Below are 18,681 nucleotides of genomic sequence, written 5' to 3' on the forward strand. Positions count from 1 at the left end.
TCAATAGAAATGAAAATAAATGAGTGAAGTATCAGTTCAAAAAACTAGGGATCCAAAGGAAACAAAGCAAACCAAAAGAAAGCACACAGAAGGAAATACTAACGTTAAAATCAGAGAATAAGAATGTAGAAAAGAGTGTACCAAATACATAAATTGAAACCTTTCCTTTTTTTTTTTTTCAAAAGTTAACAAACATCACAAAGCACCAGCTCCTTTAATTGAGAAAAGAAGAAAGCACGATGTACAAAATAATGACAAGGGGGACTAACCACTGAAACGGTAAGGAAGTAGGGTATGCAGGATTGGGCAGAGGGAAAAACTGAACTGCAGTGTGGTTGCAACTGTGGCTCCAGCCAGTTCTGCCTGGAGTGCGGATGTATCTTCGAATTTCTCCCAGTTTGAAGCAAAGGGCTCTTCCTTTGTATCCCTGAATTGATAAGTCCTGACAGGTCATAACTGTGGCTGATGCTGTTCCACGTGGCTGAGGGTAATTCCAGTGGGAAGTGCAGCTGTGAGCTCTCAGCCCATATTCTCAGCAGCTGGATTTGAGTGCAATGGCCCTGAGAAGGGGGTGTTGGTGAGCACAGTAATCTATGATTATCTTTGTGTTAAAGGACTGAATCTTTGTTCTTTAGTGCTCAAGCACATTAATTTTTTTACCACATAATTTTTGTTTATTTTTGACCCTTCACAGCAATACATTTTGAAAATGTAACTTCCAAATGCTGAATGACTGATTTGAGAATTTTCTTTTTTTAAAAAAATGTACTTTAAGTTCTGGAATGCGTGTGCAGAACATGTAGGTTTGTTATATAGGTATACATGTGTCATGGAAGTTTGCTGCACCCATCAAACTGTAATCTACATTAGGCATTTCTCCTAATCATATCCCTCCCCTACCTCCCCTTCCACCAACAGGCCCCAGTGTGGGATGTTCCCCTCCCTGTGTCCATGTATTCTCGTTGTTCAGCTCCCACTCATGAGTGAGAACATGCAGTGTTTGGTTTACTGTCCTGTGTTAGTTTGCTGAGAATGATGGTTTCCAGCTTCATCCATGTCTCTGCAAAGGAAATGAACTCATCCTTTTTTATGGCTACAGAGTATTCCATGGTGTATATGTGCCACATTTTCTTTATCCAGCCTATCATTGATAGGCATTTAGGTTGGTTCCAAGTCTTTGTTATTGTGAATAGTGCCACAATAAACATACATGTGCATGTGTCTTTACAGTAGAATGATTTATAATCCTTTGGGAATATACCCAGTAATGGGATTGCTGGGTCAAATGGTATTTCTGGTTCTAGATCCTTGAGGAATCACCACACTGTCTTCCACAATGGTTGAACTAATTTATACTCCCACCAACAGTGTAAAAGTGTTCCTATTTCTCCACATCCTCTCCAGCATCTGTTGTTTCCTGATTTTTTAATGATCCCCATTCTAACTGGTGTGAGATGATATCTTATTGTGGTTTTGATTTGCATTTCTCTGATGACCAGGGATGATGAGCTTTTGTTAATATGTTTCTTGGCCACATAAATGTCTTCTTTTGAGAAGTGTCTGTTCATATCCTTTGCCCACTTTTTGATGGGGTTGTTTTTTTCTTGTAAATTTAAGTTCCTTGTAGATTCTAGATATTAGCCCTTCATCAGATGGATAGATTGCAAAAATTTTCTTCCATTCTTTAGGTTGCCTGTACTCTCTGGTGATAGTTTCTTTTGCTGTGCAGAAGCTCTTTAGTTTAATTAGATCCCATTTGTCAATTTTGGCTTTTGTTGTCCTTGCTTTTGGTGTTTTAGTCACAAAGTCTTTGCCCATGCCTATGTCCTGAATGGTATTGCCTAGGTTTTCTTCTAGGGTTTTTATGGCTTTAGGTCTTACATTTAAGTCTTTAATCCATCTTGAGTTAATTTTTGTATAAGGTGTAAGGAAGGGGTCCAGTTACAGTTTTCTGTATATGGCTAGCCAGTTTTCCCAACACCATTTATTAAATAGGGAATCCTTTCCCTATTGCTTATTTTTGTCAGGTTTATCAAAGATCAGGTGGTTGTAGATGTGTGGCGTTATTTCTGAGGCCTGTGTTCTGTTCCATTGGTCTGTATATCTGTTTTGGTACCAGTACCATGCTGTTTTGGTTACTGTAGACTTGTAGTATAGTTTGAAGTCAGGTAGCGTGATGCCTCCAGCTTTATTCTTTTTGCTTAGGATTGTCTTGGCTATACAGGCTCTTTTTTGGTTCCATATAAAATTTAAAGTAGTTTTTTCCTAATTCTGTGAATAAAGTCAATGGTAGCTTGATGGGGATAGCATTGAGTCAGTAAATTACTTTGGGCAGTATGGCCATTTTCACGATATCAATTTATCCTATCCATGAGCATGGATTGTTTTTCTATTTGTTTGTGTCTTCTCTTATTTCCTTGAGCAGTGGTTTGTAGTTCTCCTTGAAGAGGTCCCTCACATTGCTTGTAAATTGTATTCCTAGGTATTTTATTCTCTTTGTAGCAATTGTGAATGGGAGTTCACTCATGATTTGGCTCTTTGTTTGTCTATTATTGGTCTAGGAATGCTAGTGATTTTCACACATTGATTTTGTATCCTGAGACTTTGCTGAAGTTACCTATCAGCTTAAGGAGATTTGGGGCTGAGATGATGGGATTTTCTAAATACACAATCATGTCATCTGCAAACAGAGACAGTTGGACTTCCTCTCTTCCTATTCGAATACCCTTTATTTCTTTCTCTTGCTTAATTGCCCTGGACCGAACTTCCCATACTATGTTGGATAGGAATGGTGAGAGAGGGCATCCTTGTCTTGTGCCAGTTTTCAAAGGGAATACTTCCAGCTTTTGCCCATTCAGTATGATATTGGCTGTGGGTTTGTCATAAATAGCTCTTATTATTTTGAGATAGGTTCCATCAATACCTAGTTTATTGAGAGTTTTTAGCATGAAGAGATGTTGAATTGTATCAAAGGCCTTTTCTGCATCTGTTGAGATAATCATGTGGTTTTTGTCATTGGTTCTGTTTATATGATGGATTATGTTTATTGATTTGTGTATGTTGAACCATCCTTGCATGCCAGGGATGAAACCGATTTGATAGTGGTGGGTAAGCTTTTTGATGTGCTGCCGGATTCACTTTGCCAGTATTTTATTGAGGATTTTTGCATTGATGTTCATCAGGGATATTGGCCCAAAATTTTCTTTTTTTGTTGTATCTCTGACAGGTTTTGGTATCAGGATGATGTTGGCCTCATAAAATGCATTAGGAAGGAGGCCCTCTTTTTCTATTTTTTGGAATAGTTTCAGAAGGAATGGTACTAGCTCCTCTTTCTACCTTTGGTAGAATTCAGCTGTGAATCCGTCTGGTCCTGGGCTTTTTTTTTTTGGTTGGCAGGTTGTTAATTACTGCCTCAATTTCAGAACTTGTTATTGGCCTATTCAGGGATTCAATTTCTTCTTGGTTTAGACTTGGGAGGGTGTGTGTGTCCAGGAATTTATTCATTTCTTCTAGATTTTCTAGTTTATTTGCATAGAGGTGTTTATAGTATTTTCTGATGATAGTTTGCATTTCTGTGGGATCAGTGGTGAAATCCCCTTTATCATTTTTATTGTGTCCATTTGATTCTTCCCTCTTTTCTTCTTTATTAGTCTGGCTAGCAGTCTATCTATTTTGTTAATCTTTTCAAAAAAGCAGCTCTTGGATTCATTGATTTTTTGAGGGTTTTTTTTGTGTCTCTATCTCCTTCAGTTCTGCTCTGATCTTAGTTATTTCTTGTTTTCTGCTGGCTTTTGAATTTGTTTGTTCTTGCTTCTCTAGTTCTTTTAATTGTGATGTTAGGGTGTCAATTTTATCTTTCCTGCTTTCTCCTGTGGGTATTTAGTGCTATAAATTTCTCTGTAAACACTACTTTAGCTGTTTCCCAGAGGTTCTGGTACATTGTGTCTTTGTTCTCACTTGTTTCAAGGAATTATTTATGTCTACCTTAATTTTGTTATTTACCCAATAGTCTTTCAGGAGCAGATTGTTTAGTTTCCATGTAATTGTGCGGTTTTGAGTGAGTTTCTTAATCCTGAGTTCTAATTTGATTGCACTGTGGTCTGAGAGACTGTTTGTTATGATTTCTGTTCTTTTGCCTTTGCTGAGGAGTGTTTTACTTCCAATTATATGGTCAAGTTTAGAATAAGTGTGATGTGGTGCTGAGAATAACGTATATTCTGTTGATTTTGGGTGGAGAGTTCTGTAGATGTCTGTTAGGTCCTCTTGGTCCAGAGCTGAGTTCAAATCCTGAATATCCTTGTTAATTTTCTGTCTCATTGATCTGTCTAATATTGACATGGGGTGTTAAAGTCTCCCACTATTATTGTGTGGGAGTCTAAGTCTCTTTGTAGGTCTCTAGGAACTTGCTTGATGAATCTGGGTGCATGTATATTTAGGATAGTTAGCTCTTCTTGTTGCATTGATCCGTTTATCATTATGTAATGCCCTTCTTTGTCTTTTTTGATCTTTGTTGGTTTAAAGTCTGTTTTATCAGGGACTAGGATTAGAACCCCTGCTTTTTTTTTTTTTTTTTTTTTTGGCTTTCCATTTGCTTGGTAAATATTCCTCCATCCCTTTATTTTGAGCGTATGTGTGTCTTTGCATGTGAGATTGGTCTCCTGAATACAGCACACCAATGGGTCTTGCCTCTTTATCCAATTTGCCAGTCTGTGTCTTTTAATTGGGGCATTTAGCCCATTTTTATTTAAGGTTAGTACTGTTATGTGTGAATTTGATCCTGTCATTATGATGCTAGCTGGTTATTTTGCCCATTAGTTGATGCAGTTTCTTCATAGTGTCGATGGTCTTTGCAATTTGGTATCTTTAGTGGCGGGTACTGGTTTTTCCTTTCCATGTTTAATGCTTCCTTCAGGAGCTCTTGTAAGGCAGGCCTGGTGGTGACAAAATCTCTCAGCATTTGCTTGTCTGTAAAGGATTTTATTTCTCCTTCACTTCTAAGGCTTAGTTTGGCTGGATATGAAATTCTGGGTTGAAAATTCTTTTCTTTAAGAATGTTGAATATTGGCCCTCATTCTCTTCTGGCTTGTGCAGTTTCTGCAGAGAGATCCACTGTTAGTCTGATAGGCTTCCCTTTGTGGGTAACCTGATGTTTCTCTCTGGCTGCTCTTAACATTTTTTTCCTTCATTTCACCCTTGGCGAATCTGATGATTATGTGTCTTGGGGTTGCTCTCCTTGTGGAGTATCTTTGTGGTGTTCTCTGTACTTCCTGAATTTGAATGTTGGCCTGTCTTGCTAGGTTGGGGAATTTCTCCAGGATAATATCCTGATGAGTGTTTTCCAACTTGGTTCCAATCTCCCTGTCACTTTCAGGTCCACTAATCAAATGTAGGTTTGGACTTTTCACACAGTCCCGTATTTCTTGGAGGCTTTTTCATTCTTTTTTCTCTAATCTTGTCTTCACACTTTATTTCATTAAGTTGATCTTCAGTCTCTGATATCCTTTCCTCCACTTGATGAATTTGGCTATTGATACTTGTGTGTGCTTCATGAAGTCCTTGTGCTGTATTTTTCAGCTCCATGAGGTCATTTATGTCCTTCTCTAAACTGGTTATTCTAGTTAGCAGTTCCTGTAACCTTTTATCAAGGTTCTTAGCTTCCTTGTATTGGGTTAGAACGTGATCCTTTAGCTTGGAGGAGTTTGTTATTACCTACCTTCTGAAGCCTACTTCTGTCAATTCGTCAAACTCATTCTCCATCCAGTTTTGTTCCCTTGCTGGCAAGGAGTTGTGATCTTTTAGAGGAGAAGAAGTATTCTGGTTTGGGGAATTTTCAGCCTTTTTGCGCTGTTTTTTCCCTATCTTGTGGATTTATCTATTTTTGGTCTTTGATGCTGGTGACCTTTGGGTGGGGTTTTTGTGTGGACATTCTTTTTGTTGATGTTGATGCTATTCCTTTCTGTTAGTTTTCCTTCTAAAAGTCAGGCTCCTCTGCTGCAGGTCTGCTGGAGTTTGCTGGAGGTCCACTCCAGATCTGGTTTTCCTGGGTATCACCAGCGGAGGCTGCAGAACAGCAAAGATTGCTGCCTGTTCCTTCCTCTGGTAGCTTCATCCCAGAGGGGCACCTGCTAGTTGCCAGCTGGAGCTCTCCTGTATGAGGTGTCTGTCGACCCCTGCTGGGAGGTGTCTTCCAGTCAGGAGTCATGGGGGTCAGGGACCCACTTGAGGAGGCAGTCTGTCCCTTAGCAGAGCTCGAGTGCTGTGCTGGGAGAGCTGCTGCTCTCTTCAGAGCCGGCAGGCACAAACATTTATGTCTGCTGAGGCTGCACCCACAGCTGCCCCTTCCCCTAGGTGCACTGTCCCAGGGAGATGGGACTTTTATCTATAAGCCCCTGACTGGGCTGCTGCCTTTCTTTCAGAGATGCCCTGACCAGAGAGAAGAAATATAGAGAGGCAGTCTGGCTACAGTGGCTTTGCTGAGCTGTGGTGGGCTCCGCCCAGTTTGAACTTCCCTGCGGCTTTGTTTACACTGTGAGGGGGAAAATGCCTACTCAAGCCTCAGTAATGGTGGACGCCCCTCCACCCACCAAGCTCGAGTGTCTCTGGTCAAATTCAGAGTGCTGGATCTTCAGACTGGATCTTCAGACTGCCAGTGGATCTTAGTTTGCTGGGCTCTGTGGGGATGGGATCTGCTGAGCTAGACCACTTGGGTCCCTGGCTTCAGCCCTTTATCCAGAGGAGTGAACAGTTCTGTCTCACTGGCATTCCAGGTACCACTGGGGTATGAAAAAAAACTCCTGCAGCTAGCTTGGTGTCTGCCTAAATGGCTGCCCAGTTTTGTGCTTGAAACCCAGGGCCCTGATGGTGTAGCCACCAGAGGGAATCTCCTGGTCTGCGGGTTGTGAATACCATAGGAAAACCATAGCATCTGCACCTGATAGCACTGTTCCTCATGGCACAGTCCCTCAGGGCTTCCCTTGGCTAGGGGAGGGAGTTCCCGACTCCTTGCACTTCCCAGGTGAGGCGATGCCCCACCCTGCTTCAGCTCACCCTCTGTGGGCTGCTCCTACTGTCTAACCAGTCCCAATGAGATGAGCCGTGTACCTCAGTTGGAAATGCATAAATCACCTGCTTTCTGCATCAGTCTTGCTGGGAGCTGCAGACTGGAGCTGTTCCTATTCAGCTATCGTAAACACATTAATTTTTCACACAGCAAACTGCTCTGTTCCCAGTAAAAATGTCCTAACCTTGTACTACCCTCCAAATGAGCTTGTTAATGAGGAATACAGATGAAAATGTCTCAGTCTCTGAAATCCTGAAGGCCATCTGTATTAACTGTTGTGGCACTACAGTGTAGCCCAAATCTTAGCAGCTTAAAATTATGAACAGGCTTGCTGGGCACGATGGCTCATGCCTATAATCCCAGCACTTTGGGAGGCCCAGGCGGATGGATCACCTGAGGTCAGGAGTTGAAGACCAGCCTGACCAACATGGTGAAACCCTGTCTCTACTAAAAATACAAAAAATTAGTCAGGCGTGGTGGTGGGCACCTGTAATCCCAGCTACTTGGGAGGCTGAGGCAGAAGAATTGCTTGAACTCAGGAGGTGGAGGTTGCAGTGAGCTGAGATTGTGCCATTGCATGCCAGCCTGGGCAACAAGAGCAAAACTCTGTCTCAAAAAAAAAAATTATGAACAGGCTTGACTTAGCTGGGTGGATCTGGCTCAAGGTCTCTCTCGAGGTTGCAGTCAAGCTGTTGGCCAGGGCTATGACCATCGCAATGGGGGATGGAGGTCCTGTGCCCAAGCTCACTTATGTGACTTGGCAGGAGGCTTCATTGCCTCACCATGTGGGCCTTTCCATGGGGCTGCTCATGACACAACTTCCCCTAGAATAGACGATCCAAATGGGCAAGAGAGAGACCTAAATAGAAGTGCAGTTCCTGTCAGCCTGGGAACTCCAGAAGGGAAGGAGTTTGCATTAGTGTCCTTGGGTTCTGGTAACAAAGCAGAACTGAGTGGCTCAACCACAGGAAAAGGTTGTCTTATGGTTCTGCAGGCTGGAGGTCTCAGACAGAAATGTTGGCGGGGGGGTTCCTTCTGGGGACTGTGAGGGAGAATCTGTTTTGTGCCTCTTCCCTATCTTCTAGTGGTTTTCTATCACTGGTGTTTTTTGGCATCTAGATGCATCATCCCAATCTCTGCCTTTATCTTCATATGGCGTTCTCCCTGTGTCATGTCTGTTTCTGTGTCCAGATTTCCCCTTTGTATAAGAACAACAGTTATATTGGATTACGGTTCACCATAATGATCTTATTTTAACTTGATTACCTCAGTAAAGACTTTATTTCCAAATAAGGTCACTTTCCCAGGTCTTGGAGATTGGGACTTCAGCATATTTTGTGGGAGACAAAATTAAGCCCAATAACAGAGTGAAAACCTGAGGTCTGAGATTAGGGTGGGTGAGTAGATGCTCTTGAGAAACTTCAGCATCCAGCATCTCTCGTATTGCTCGTCCTAAAGAAGTGGCCTATTCCATCTTGCTAAAAGATGGCTCCTTGCTTGAAGATTATGCAGAGGTTTCAAAAGAGTCAAGTTTCTTAAAAGACAATGCCTTCCCCTTCAGGGTGTTTCTGGCAGCAATCTAATAACAAGTGTCAAATCCCAGCAGAGCCCAAAGAGGGTCATGCTGAGCTGCCAAGTGAGGAGGAGGCTCATAATCCGAAGTCCTCCAGGGTCTGCTAGCAGGCATGGGAGTTGTCCCAAGGGTGCTGGATCAAGGAGGGGCAGAACATAGAATTGGGTGAAGGAGAGGTTATGGACGTGGAAGCAATACCTTACAATAGAAGATATAACAACTGGCAAGGACCATGGGAATGGGGCTGATATGTTGCCAGGATGGCTCTTGAAATTCTTGAGAAAATCAATGGCCCAGAGTAAGTGAAGCAGAAATGCCAGAGTTGTCATGACAGATGGTAGAAGAAAGGATCAAAAGGACCAGATAATTGCACATACTAAGCCATGATTAACACAGTTTCCTCTCTTAGGTATGCATCTGAGGAGATGGCGAAGACATTTTTAACATCTTTATCAGGTAGGTGGATCAAAAACAGCTTATGTTTATGTGAAAAGCACAACAGTAAATGTTTAGAGTCTTTCTCTGCGGTTATGTTACCTCTCCCACCATCTGTCATTTTATAGTCTGAAGATCCCTGGACCATCTAGGAATTGTCTATGATACTACATGGGTACACTCTATCTATGGCACCATGTTAATCATGCTGGATGAACAAGAAATGGCAAATATGTTAGAGAACTTGATAAGGCATATGTTCACATTCTTCACAGGATGGAAAAATAAATGTTATGAAGGTTCAGGGATCTGTCACAGTCACAAAATTTGTAGGTGTCTGGAAGTCTGGGACTTGCTGGGACATCCCCTCTAAATAAAGGATGAATTGTTGAATCTAGTATTGCCCACAGTCAAGAAAGATGAGAAGAATTTGGCAGGCACCCAGGATTATGGAGTCAACATCTTTGGCACTTGGGAATACTGATTGTACCCATTTAGAGGAGACATGGAGGGTATGCATTTTTAAGTGGAACCTGAGCCCAGGCTGGCATCTACATCGTTTCCAGGCTGCAGCACAGCTGGTCCTTCCATTTTTGTCATTTGACCTGACAGATGTATGACCCTGTAGGTATCAAAAAGGTGGGAAAAGATGCTGTGTGGAACATTTGGCAAGCTTCAACTGGATAATCAGAATGTATCTCTTTAGGATCTACTGGGAGCAAGGACATTACCAACCACAGGAGATAACTATAAAGCATTCCAAAAGTAGCTCCTGTCATGCCCTGTCCTGGGTTCTGCTAGAGGCACAGTGTTTGACCATGGAGCATCAAGTGACCAAGTGACCAGTGCCCCGTCATGAGCTGCATCGGGTCACACCCACAAAGACATAGGCAAGTGAGCCCAGAAGAAATTCATCATAAAACAGAAATGGTGCATGTAGGTTTAGGCAAGAACAAATCCAGCAGGTACAAGTAAGCTACATGAGCAGGTGGCCCAGACCACATATCTTCTATTATTGTGTTGGCACCTCTCCCCCAACTCATCCCTCTAGCCACATTAGCTTAAAGTTGATGCTGCTTATTGGCTGGGAGTCCAACAGGGTGATCAACTGGAGCCCTCACTGTGGCTTCTCCGTGTGGCTTGGGCTTCTCATAGCCTCATGGCTTATTCCAAGAGGGATGATCCCAAGTGCAAACATTCCAGGCCTAGCTGCAAGGTTTCTTATGACCCAGCCTTGAAAGTCATGTGGTATCACTTCGGTAGCACACTACTAACCACAGAAGTCACAGACCTGGCCCAGATTCAGGAGGAGGGGAAATAGACTTTCCCTCTCAATGACATCTCAGTGGGACCAGTAGCAAAAAAATCTGTAGCCATTTTAAATTTACCACAGGTGCTGTTTTCCAGGGCAGCATAGACAGCCTAAATCAATGACTATTATATGACACAGCTGTGTCTTCATTTGGTGTAAGGAATGGAAAATAGAGATGACACCACGTTCTCCATGGCTCTCTTCGACTCACTTGAAATTTCTGCTCTGGTCCCTGCAGTTTCATGCTGTACCTGTTAAGAGGTCCTGGCTTCCAGAAGGAAATTACTTCCACCAGTGGACATGGTAAGAGTCTCATTGAACTTTCAGCTATGGCTGCTGCTTGATCACTTGGTGCCAATAAACCATCCAGAAGAGAAAAGTCACAACCTGCAGGGAAAATTGACTCATTACCAGTGGGAGGTAGGCCTGCTGCCACACAGTGGACATAGGGAAGAATCTCTTTGGTGCTCAGTGATCCCAGTGCTATACTCAAATGAGACAAACTTAATGTAAAAAGCAAGTTGATCTGTGAAGTGGAAGGGATTAACTTTAATGAAGACTGTGGTGCTTTGCCAAGATCCTTTCTTTAGAGATGATTTACCCATAGCCTGGTGGCTGGTGGCTCCCAGGTGCACCCTGTTCTATCATCATTATTCACCATGTTGGTGGAGGAAGAATACCCAACCCCTTCAATCGCACAAGGTAGCTGAACACATGACACCTTGTGCTGGACAGATGTGATCAACAGCAGTTTATTAGTTACATATACCCACAGCCTGCCTGGGGAAGATGACGCCACACACCACGCAGGGCCACACGAGGGATGCACTCAAGAACAGAGTGGACCAGAGGGGCATGGAGGCAGGCTTTGTAGAAACAAGGGGGTGTGGTGGCCCCTGGTGCCTGTGGGAGGATGTTATTGGCTTGTTTGTTTCATGGAGTAGCAGGGGATGGAGACACGTGAGATTGGAGACTGATGGGGGACACTGGTCCAGCCAACGGGAACAAGCAAGGCAGGGAGCAGGGGAACTCATAGGGCTCCTTTGGGGCCTGGAAGCCTCAAAGATGGCAAAATAACACTTGAAATTGTTTCTTCTTCACATTTGCATCCACCTGTGTAGGTGTTTCCAGTATTCAAATCCATCCTAACTAAAGGAAGAATTGTCATTGCAATGAACGCATTCCATAGGTAAATTCTGAGGAGGGCATCCCCAAAATACAATGAACATTGTGTAGTCTCTTAAGGGAACTATAGTCAAATTAAAAAGCCTCAAAATCAAGAGGTGACTTTCTACCATGTCACTTTATAATCAGGAAGGAGATTTAGAAGGAAGAGAAAGATATACGCAGTAGACATAGAATAAAATAATTCATTAAAATCACCTTTATACATTCATTTATGAAGTTCAAAGTTACATGATAGACCGGTGTTGGCAAGTTTTTTTTTTTTAAATACAGAGCTAGATAGTAAATATTTTAGGCTTTGTGGGCCATATGGTCTCTGATGACTCAGCTCTGCTGTTGTGCAAAAGCAGCCATGGATAAATAGTAAACAAATGGGCATGGTTGTCCTTCAATAAGACTTTACCTACACAAGCCGGTGGCAGGCTGGGCTGGGCCCAATGGTGTAGTTTATCAACCCATGTCATAGAGCATCTGGCCTCAAAAACATATTTCTTAGGTTTGTATATTGCCTTATTTTCCAAGCTTCCCTTGAAATGATCAATTCGTGAGGTATCCAGGCAATATTCTCTCATTTTACAGACCAGAAAACTGAGGTACAGGAACTTTCCTGGGAAAAACTGTGATGAGTAGCAAGCCAAGACTAGAAATCAGATTTCCTGACTATCCTCTCCCACACCCTGACTGTTGCTCAACCCAGCTGATTCACTAGACTCTGGTCACCAATATCAAGTTTCTATCAGATGGGTCAATTTTACTTATTTATTTATTTAATAAAGATTAGCTAAGACATACTTATTTTTTTTATTTTAGTTAACAATAGCAAGGATTTTTGTCCTGATTAAAATATTAAATAATACTACCTTTTTAAAGTTTTTTTTTATTTCAATAGGTTTTTGGGGAACAGGTGGTGTTTGATTACATGAATAAGTTCTTTAGTGGTGATCTCTGAGTTTTTGGTGCACCCATCACCTGAACAGTGTACACTGTACCCAATGTGTAGTCTTTTATCCCTTGCCACCTCCCCCACCCTTTCTCCCGAGTCCCCAAAGTCCAATGTACCATTTTTATGCCTTTGTGTCCTTACAGTTTAGCTCCCACTTATGAGTGTGTATTAGTTTGTTCTCACACTGCTGATAAAGACATACCCATGACTGGGTAGTTTATAAAGGAAAGAGTTTAATTGACTCACAGTTCCACATGGCTGGGGAGGCCTCACAATCATGGAAGAAGGCGAGAGGCATGTCTTACATGGTGGCAGGCAAGAGAGAATGAGAACCAAGTGAAAGGGGTTTCCCCTTATAAAACTGTCAGATCTTGTGAGACTTATTCACTACCATGAGAACATTATGGGGGAAACAGCCTCCATAATTCAATTATCTCCAACCAGGTCCCTCCCACAACACATGGAAATTATGGGAGCTGCAATTCAAGATGAGATTTTGGTGGGGACACAGCCAAACCATATCAGAGTGAAAACATATGATGTTTGGTTTTCCAGTCCTGAGTTACTTCACTTAGAATAATAGTCTCCACTTCCATCCAGGTTGCTGCAAATGCCATTATTTCATTCCTTTTTATGGCTGAGTAGTATTCCATGGTGTGTGTGTATGTGTGTGTGTGTGTGTGTGTGTGTGTGTGTGTGTGTGTGTGTGTATATATATATATATATATATATATATATATATATATATATATATATATAAAAAACATTTTATTTATCCACTCGTTGATTGATGGGCATTTGGGCTGGTTGCATATTTTTGCAATTGCAAATTGTGCTGCTAGAAACATGCATGTGCAAGTATCTTTTTCATATAATGACTTCTTTTCCTCTGGGTTGGAACCTAGTAGTGGGATTGCTGGATCAACAGTAGATCTACTTTAAGTTCTTTAAGGAATCTTCACACTGTTTTTCATCGTGGTTGTACTAGTTTATGTTCCCACCAACAGTGTAAAAGTGTTCTTTTTTCACCACATCCATGCCAACATCTATTATTTTTTGATTTTTTGATTTTTTGATTATGGCCATTCTTGCAGGAGTGAGGTGGTATTGCATTGTCGTTTTGATTTACATTTCCCTGAATAATTAGTGATGTTGAGCATTTTTTCATATATTTGTTGGCCATTTGTATATTTTCTTTTGAGAACTGTCTATTCATGTCCTTAGTACACTTTTTGGTGGGATTGTTGGTTTTATTCTTGCTGATTTGTTTGAGTTCTTTTCAGATTCTGGATATTAGTTCTTTGTTGGATATATAGATTGTGAAGATTCTCTCCCACTCTGTGGGTTGTCTCTTAACTCTGCTGATTATTTCTTTTGCTGTGCAGAAGCTTTTTAGTTAATTAAGTCCCGTCTATTTATCTTTGTTTTTGTTGCATTTGCTTTTGGGTTCTTGGTCATGAAGTCTTTGCCTAAGCCAATGTCTAGAAGAGTTTTTCTGATGTTATCTTCTAGAATCTTTAGAGTTTTAGGTCTTAGATTTAAGTCTTTGATCGATCTTGAGTTTATTTTTGTATAAGGTGAGAGATGGGGATCTAGTTTTATTCTTCTACATGTAGCTTGCCAATTTTTCCAGCATCATTTATTGAATAGGGTGTCCTTTCCCCACTTTGTGTTTTTGTTTGCTTTGTCAAAGATCAGTTGGCTGTAAGTATTTGGCTTAATTTCTGGGTTCTCTATCTGTTACATTGGTGTATGTGCCTATTTTTATACCAGTACCATGCTGTTTTGCTGACTGTGGTCTTATAGTACATGTTGAAGTCAGTTAATGTGATGCTTCCAGATTTGTTCTTTTTGCTTAGTCTTGCTTTGGCTATGTGGGCTCCTTTTTGGTTTCATATGAATTTTAAGATTGCTTTTTTCAGTTCTGTGAAGAATGATGATGGTATTTTGATGGGAATTGCACTGAGTTCGTAGATTGCTTTTGGCAATCTGGTCATTTTCACAATATTGATTCTATATCTATGAGCATGGGGTGTATTTCCATTGGTTTGTGTCGTCGATGATTTCTTTCAGCAGTGTTTTGTAGCTTTCCTTGTAGAGGTCTTTCATGTCCTTGGTTAGGTATATTACTAAGTATTTTATTTTTTTTCAGCTATTGTGAAAGGAGTTGATTTCTTGATTTGATTCTCAGCTTGGTTGCTGTTGGTGTATAGCAGAGCTACTGATTTGTGTACATTAATTTTGTATCCTAAAACTTTTCTGAATTTATTTGCCAGTTCTAGGAGCTTTTTGGATGAGTCTTTAGAGTTTTCTAAGTATATGATCATATCATCAGCAAACAGAGACAGTTTGACTTCCTGTTTACTGATTTGGATGACCTTTATTTCTTTCTCTTGTCGGATTGCTTTGGCTAGGACTTCAGATGTGTCCATTTTAAATAATAGGGAAAAAACAGAAAAGAAAATTAGATAACTACTTTATAGCAAGCTGGATTTTATTCATTGTTAGATGGACCTTTTCTTTGTATTTGCTTCAGTCTGTGAATCCTGTTTCTTCCATGTTGCCCTCAGGTGCCTTTCAATGCTTTTCCTTTCCTTTTTCTTCATCCCCTTTGCTTTTGTGACCATGTTTAATATGCACCCGGCTGCACACTTCAGTGAGAGGCCTCCACCCCCATAGTTTGGGGATGCCTCACTGCTTTTGATAAGTTTCCAAAGCATTCCACTCGTTTCTCCTTTCTGCATCTTAATTTTCCACAGACCTCTGGGAGAATATTTTTGTTAATTGAGGGGGCAGATGTGACATTTCCTATTCTCTCTTATTTCTTCTCGGGTTGCAGAGTAATTGTTGACTAGCTATGTAATTGAACAAAAACTTTTATCACAATTCTCTCATGCATTTTGACTTGGAAAAAAGTTCAAATCTCAGGCAAGATTATAAAATTAGTGAACATTGTATATAGCACTTTTTAAAGGGGATCACTTTTCAGAGTTCTCTTTTTAAATTTTTACTTCACTTCCATCTTGCTGGGCCCATATCTCTGTCTTCTAGGGAGATGATAATGGAATCTCATGAAAAGGCAAGGGACATGATTTGTTGGGCCTCCCGTGATTTGTTGTGCTTGTATATTGAAAGTTGCTACAATGAAAAGGCAATAACTAATCCTGTATGTATTTATTCAACAAATATTCATAGACCATCTATTATGTGCTAGATACCAGAGATATAAATGTGATAATATTGGACACAATTTTGGAATAAAATTAGACTCATTTTCTGTCTGGGAGGAGATTTAGACATGGAAAGGGCAATTTCAATGAAGGGTAAAACATATTAAAATACAGAAACAACAGAATATTATGGTAACACAGAGAAGGGCATTGAAATCAGATGTGGGAGAGTCATCAGAGACTTCTTAGAGTACTCAACAAGGTCATGGAGAGAAGGGGAGAAAAAGTCCAGGGAAGAATAAAATATATTTAGGGAAATGAAAAATGGTCAGTTCAGTATGATTGAAGAGAATGATATAATAAAATTAAGTTGTACAGGTGGACAGGCCAGATCTTGAAGGGCGTTGGAAACCACATGAGCATATTATCTTTTCACTTTATCTTATGATCAATGGAACATCGTTGAAGAGTGTTAATCAGGGTAGTGGCAGAATCTGATTTGCATTTTTACCCACAGGTGGAGGAGAGTGGAGGGGAGTAAGATTAGAAGCAAGGATACCAGTAGGATGCAGTTACAGCAATCCAGGTGGCTGTGCTACAATTGTAATAACATCAGATCTGTGCTGGGTAAGTATGGAAAGTGAGGTCATCTTGTTCACATCTGTATCCAACAGTGCCTCACCCATTGGGATGCTCTATTGACATTTTGTGAAGGAGTGAATAAATGCATAAGTGGATTTATTGTGGGATCTGGCCAGCAGCCCACAATGCAGTGGGGCTCTTTCTTTGTTCCCAGGTGGATCGGCAAGTTGAGAAATAATAGACACGCACAAGATAGTGAAAGCTGGGTCCAGGGTGGTCGCTGCCTTTGGTCCCACGGTGCCAACAATGTACTGGATATACCAGCATTTATTATTAAGTTTAGTGAGGGCGGGGGTAGGTTAGTGAGAGATTTAGGGTCATTTGATTATGAGGTGAGATGGTCACATGGGGATGAAGTAATTCTTTAACATAACATCTGTATGCAGTAGTACAGTATACAGAGATAAGAATTTACAATATAGTGTGTGCATCAGTAATTTCTAACAGAGCCTTCAAATGGAAACACAGTCTTTCCATAACCTATGATTAGCAAGATATTAATCAGCAGTTAACAGTTGCAGCAAAAGCTGGTTACAAGCAATCCATAGAAACAGGACGTGAAGCTAGACAACCGGTTAGACCAGAAATTCTCAGAAGGGAGTATGCCTTAACCCTAAAGAGGCCTAGAAGAGCTGTGGCAAGATGAGGGCGTTTATAGCCCTATCTTATCCATGTGAACAGTTGCCCGTCATGCATCCATTTATAGGCTCTCCACAAGGGTCGCATTCCATTCCCACAGCTATGAACATCTGCTTTTCTGGGATAGGAGTGTTGGTAATGTGAAACCTCCCTGACTGCACATCTGTTCATAGGCTCTCTGCAGGGGAAAGCACATCACACGCCGTTGGCTCATTCTGGCAGCCCAACCTGGCATTGTCTTTACACAATCCTGCATGCAATTTTGTATTTACAATAATCAGGAGCATTTTATCTTTTATTCTGTAGCAATAGTTTCAGGGGGTCTTCCTACATGGATTCACATAGAAGTGGTCAGTTAAGAACAGTATTTCCCCCGGTGGGTTCCACAGAACAGCATGTTATGTGAAAGAAAACAGGCTGAGGTCAAATGAATCAGGGAAACAACAGGCAAAACATTACTAAACTTTCTGTTTAGGACAATCTCTCAAGGCCTTTAACAAGCTAATATGTCATGTTGTTCTCCAAAATGCAGGAGTAGCAAGCAAGGTGAACTGGGCTTCTGTTTGCCCCTCCAGACCCACTCTCCACCACTCTCCACCCTGCTCTGTTCCCTGGCAGCCTAGTCTTTTCTGATTCCATAACAAGCCCCCTTTGCTCTCCTTTCCAGTTGGGTTTGGACAGTGGGGACTTAGTAGGTAAGAGGGAAAGAGTAGAGAATAGTCAAGTATTTCCTCCCCTGGCTCCCGCCTGTGGGTGGCTGACAGCTGATTGTATACCTTGACTGACAGCCACAGCTGTTGTCAGGGCCTTCTTTGCACAGCCTTCTGTCTGTTTTGGTGACTGCTCACTCCCCTTGCAGCAAACTGCAAATAGCACCCACAGACTGCACTATCTTGTGATTTTCATGTATGTGGTCTACACCTTATGGCACTCATTTCAAAATACCTAATTTGACCATTCTCTCTGTTTCCTGCTGGGACCTTGACTAATTCACAGTTTCTCAAACTTCATTGATTGTAGAGTCATTTTTCCATGAAGCATTTTGTATGACTAAGGTTTCACATAATACAGTTTGGCTAATAAGGGTTGAGTGTTAGCACAAGTAAAAGTGAACCCCACTTCTTTAACTCTGCTCACCTTGTAGATCGGCTTCTCATATGGGGTTTAATCACTGGTTCCGTAACTAAGTAGTTTCTAATCTTAAATGCACATGGTGGTATCAATCAATACTTGTAAAAATATCCATGCTTATCTCATTCTGTTAGGGAGTTGTATTGGTCCTGCCTCTTAGGCTCTCTGGAGCTAGGAAGCATGCAGCTGCAAAATTTTCTCCAGAGAAACTGGAATTCAGACATTTTCTTTTATATTTCTGCACTTCCGAGATTTCTTGCCTACATAAGGATTAATCATATCTTGTCTGGGAATAGGTTCCTGGCCACACTGGGGAGCAATTATGTATCTTGCCTAGGTCCTGTGACTTTTGGCAATGTTACCAACATCAGCCTTAATTAAGAAGTCTACTGAGGTCCATAAACTATAAAGTTTTATTAAACATGATGAAATAAAATATCGACTGCTATTTTTAAAGAAGTGCTGATGAAAAAGGGACTAAACATCAAGGCGTTAACAAATGTGGTTAGATATTTTATGACTTTTTTCTTTACAAATAAAGTGGAACTCTTTGTATCCCCACAAAATGTGTATGTTGGAACCTAATCTCCA

The 18,681-nt window shown here is 41.2% G+C and overlaps 1 long non-coding RNA gene across 1 annotated transcript in view; it reads left to right on the plus strand.

The window, feature by feature from the left end:
- LOC102723686 (uncharacterized) overlaps positions 1–18,681 on the plus strand; it is a 121,255-nt gene that overhangs the window by 46,519 nt on the left and 56,055 nt on the right. Inside the window, exons 5-8 of the long non-coding RNA XR_007060599.1 lie at positions 186–279; positions 9,043–9,089; positions 10,619–10,683; positions 16,196–16,305. This is a non-coding gene — a long non-coding RNA (uncharacterized LOC102723686). The remainder of the gene's footprint in view (positions 1–185; positions 280–9,042; positions 9,090–10,618; positions 10,684–16,195; positions 16,306–18,681) is intronic.

The sequence above is a fragment of the Homo sapiens genome, chromosome 7, assembly GCF_000001405.40.
Source record: "Homo sapiens chromosome 7, GRCh38.p14 Primary Assembly".
NCBI classification, from domain to species: Eukaryota; Metazoa; Chordata; class Mammalia; order Primates; family Hominidae; genus Homo; species Homo sapiens.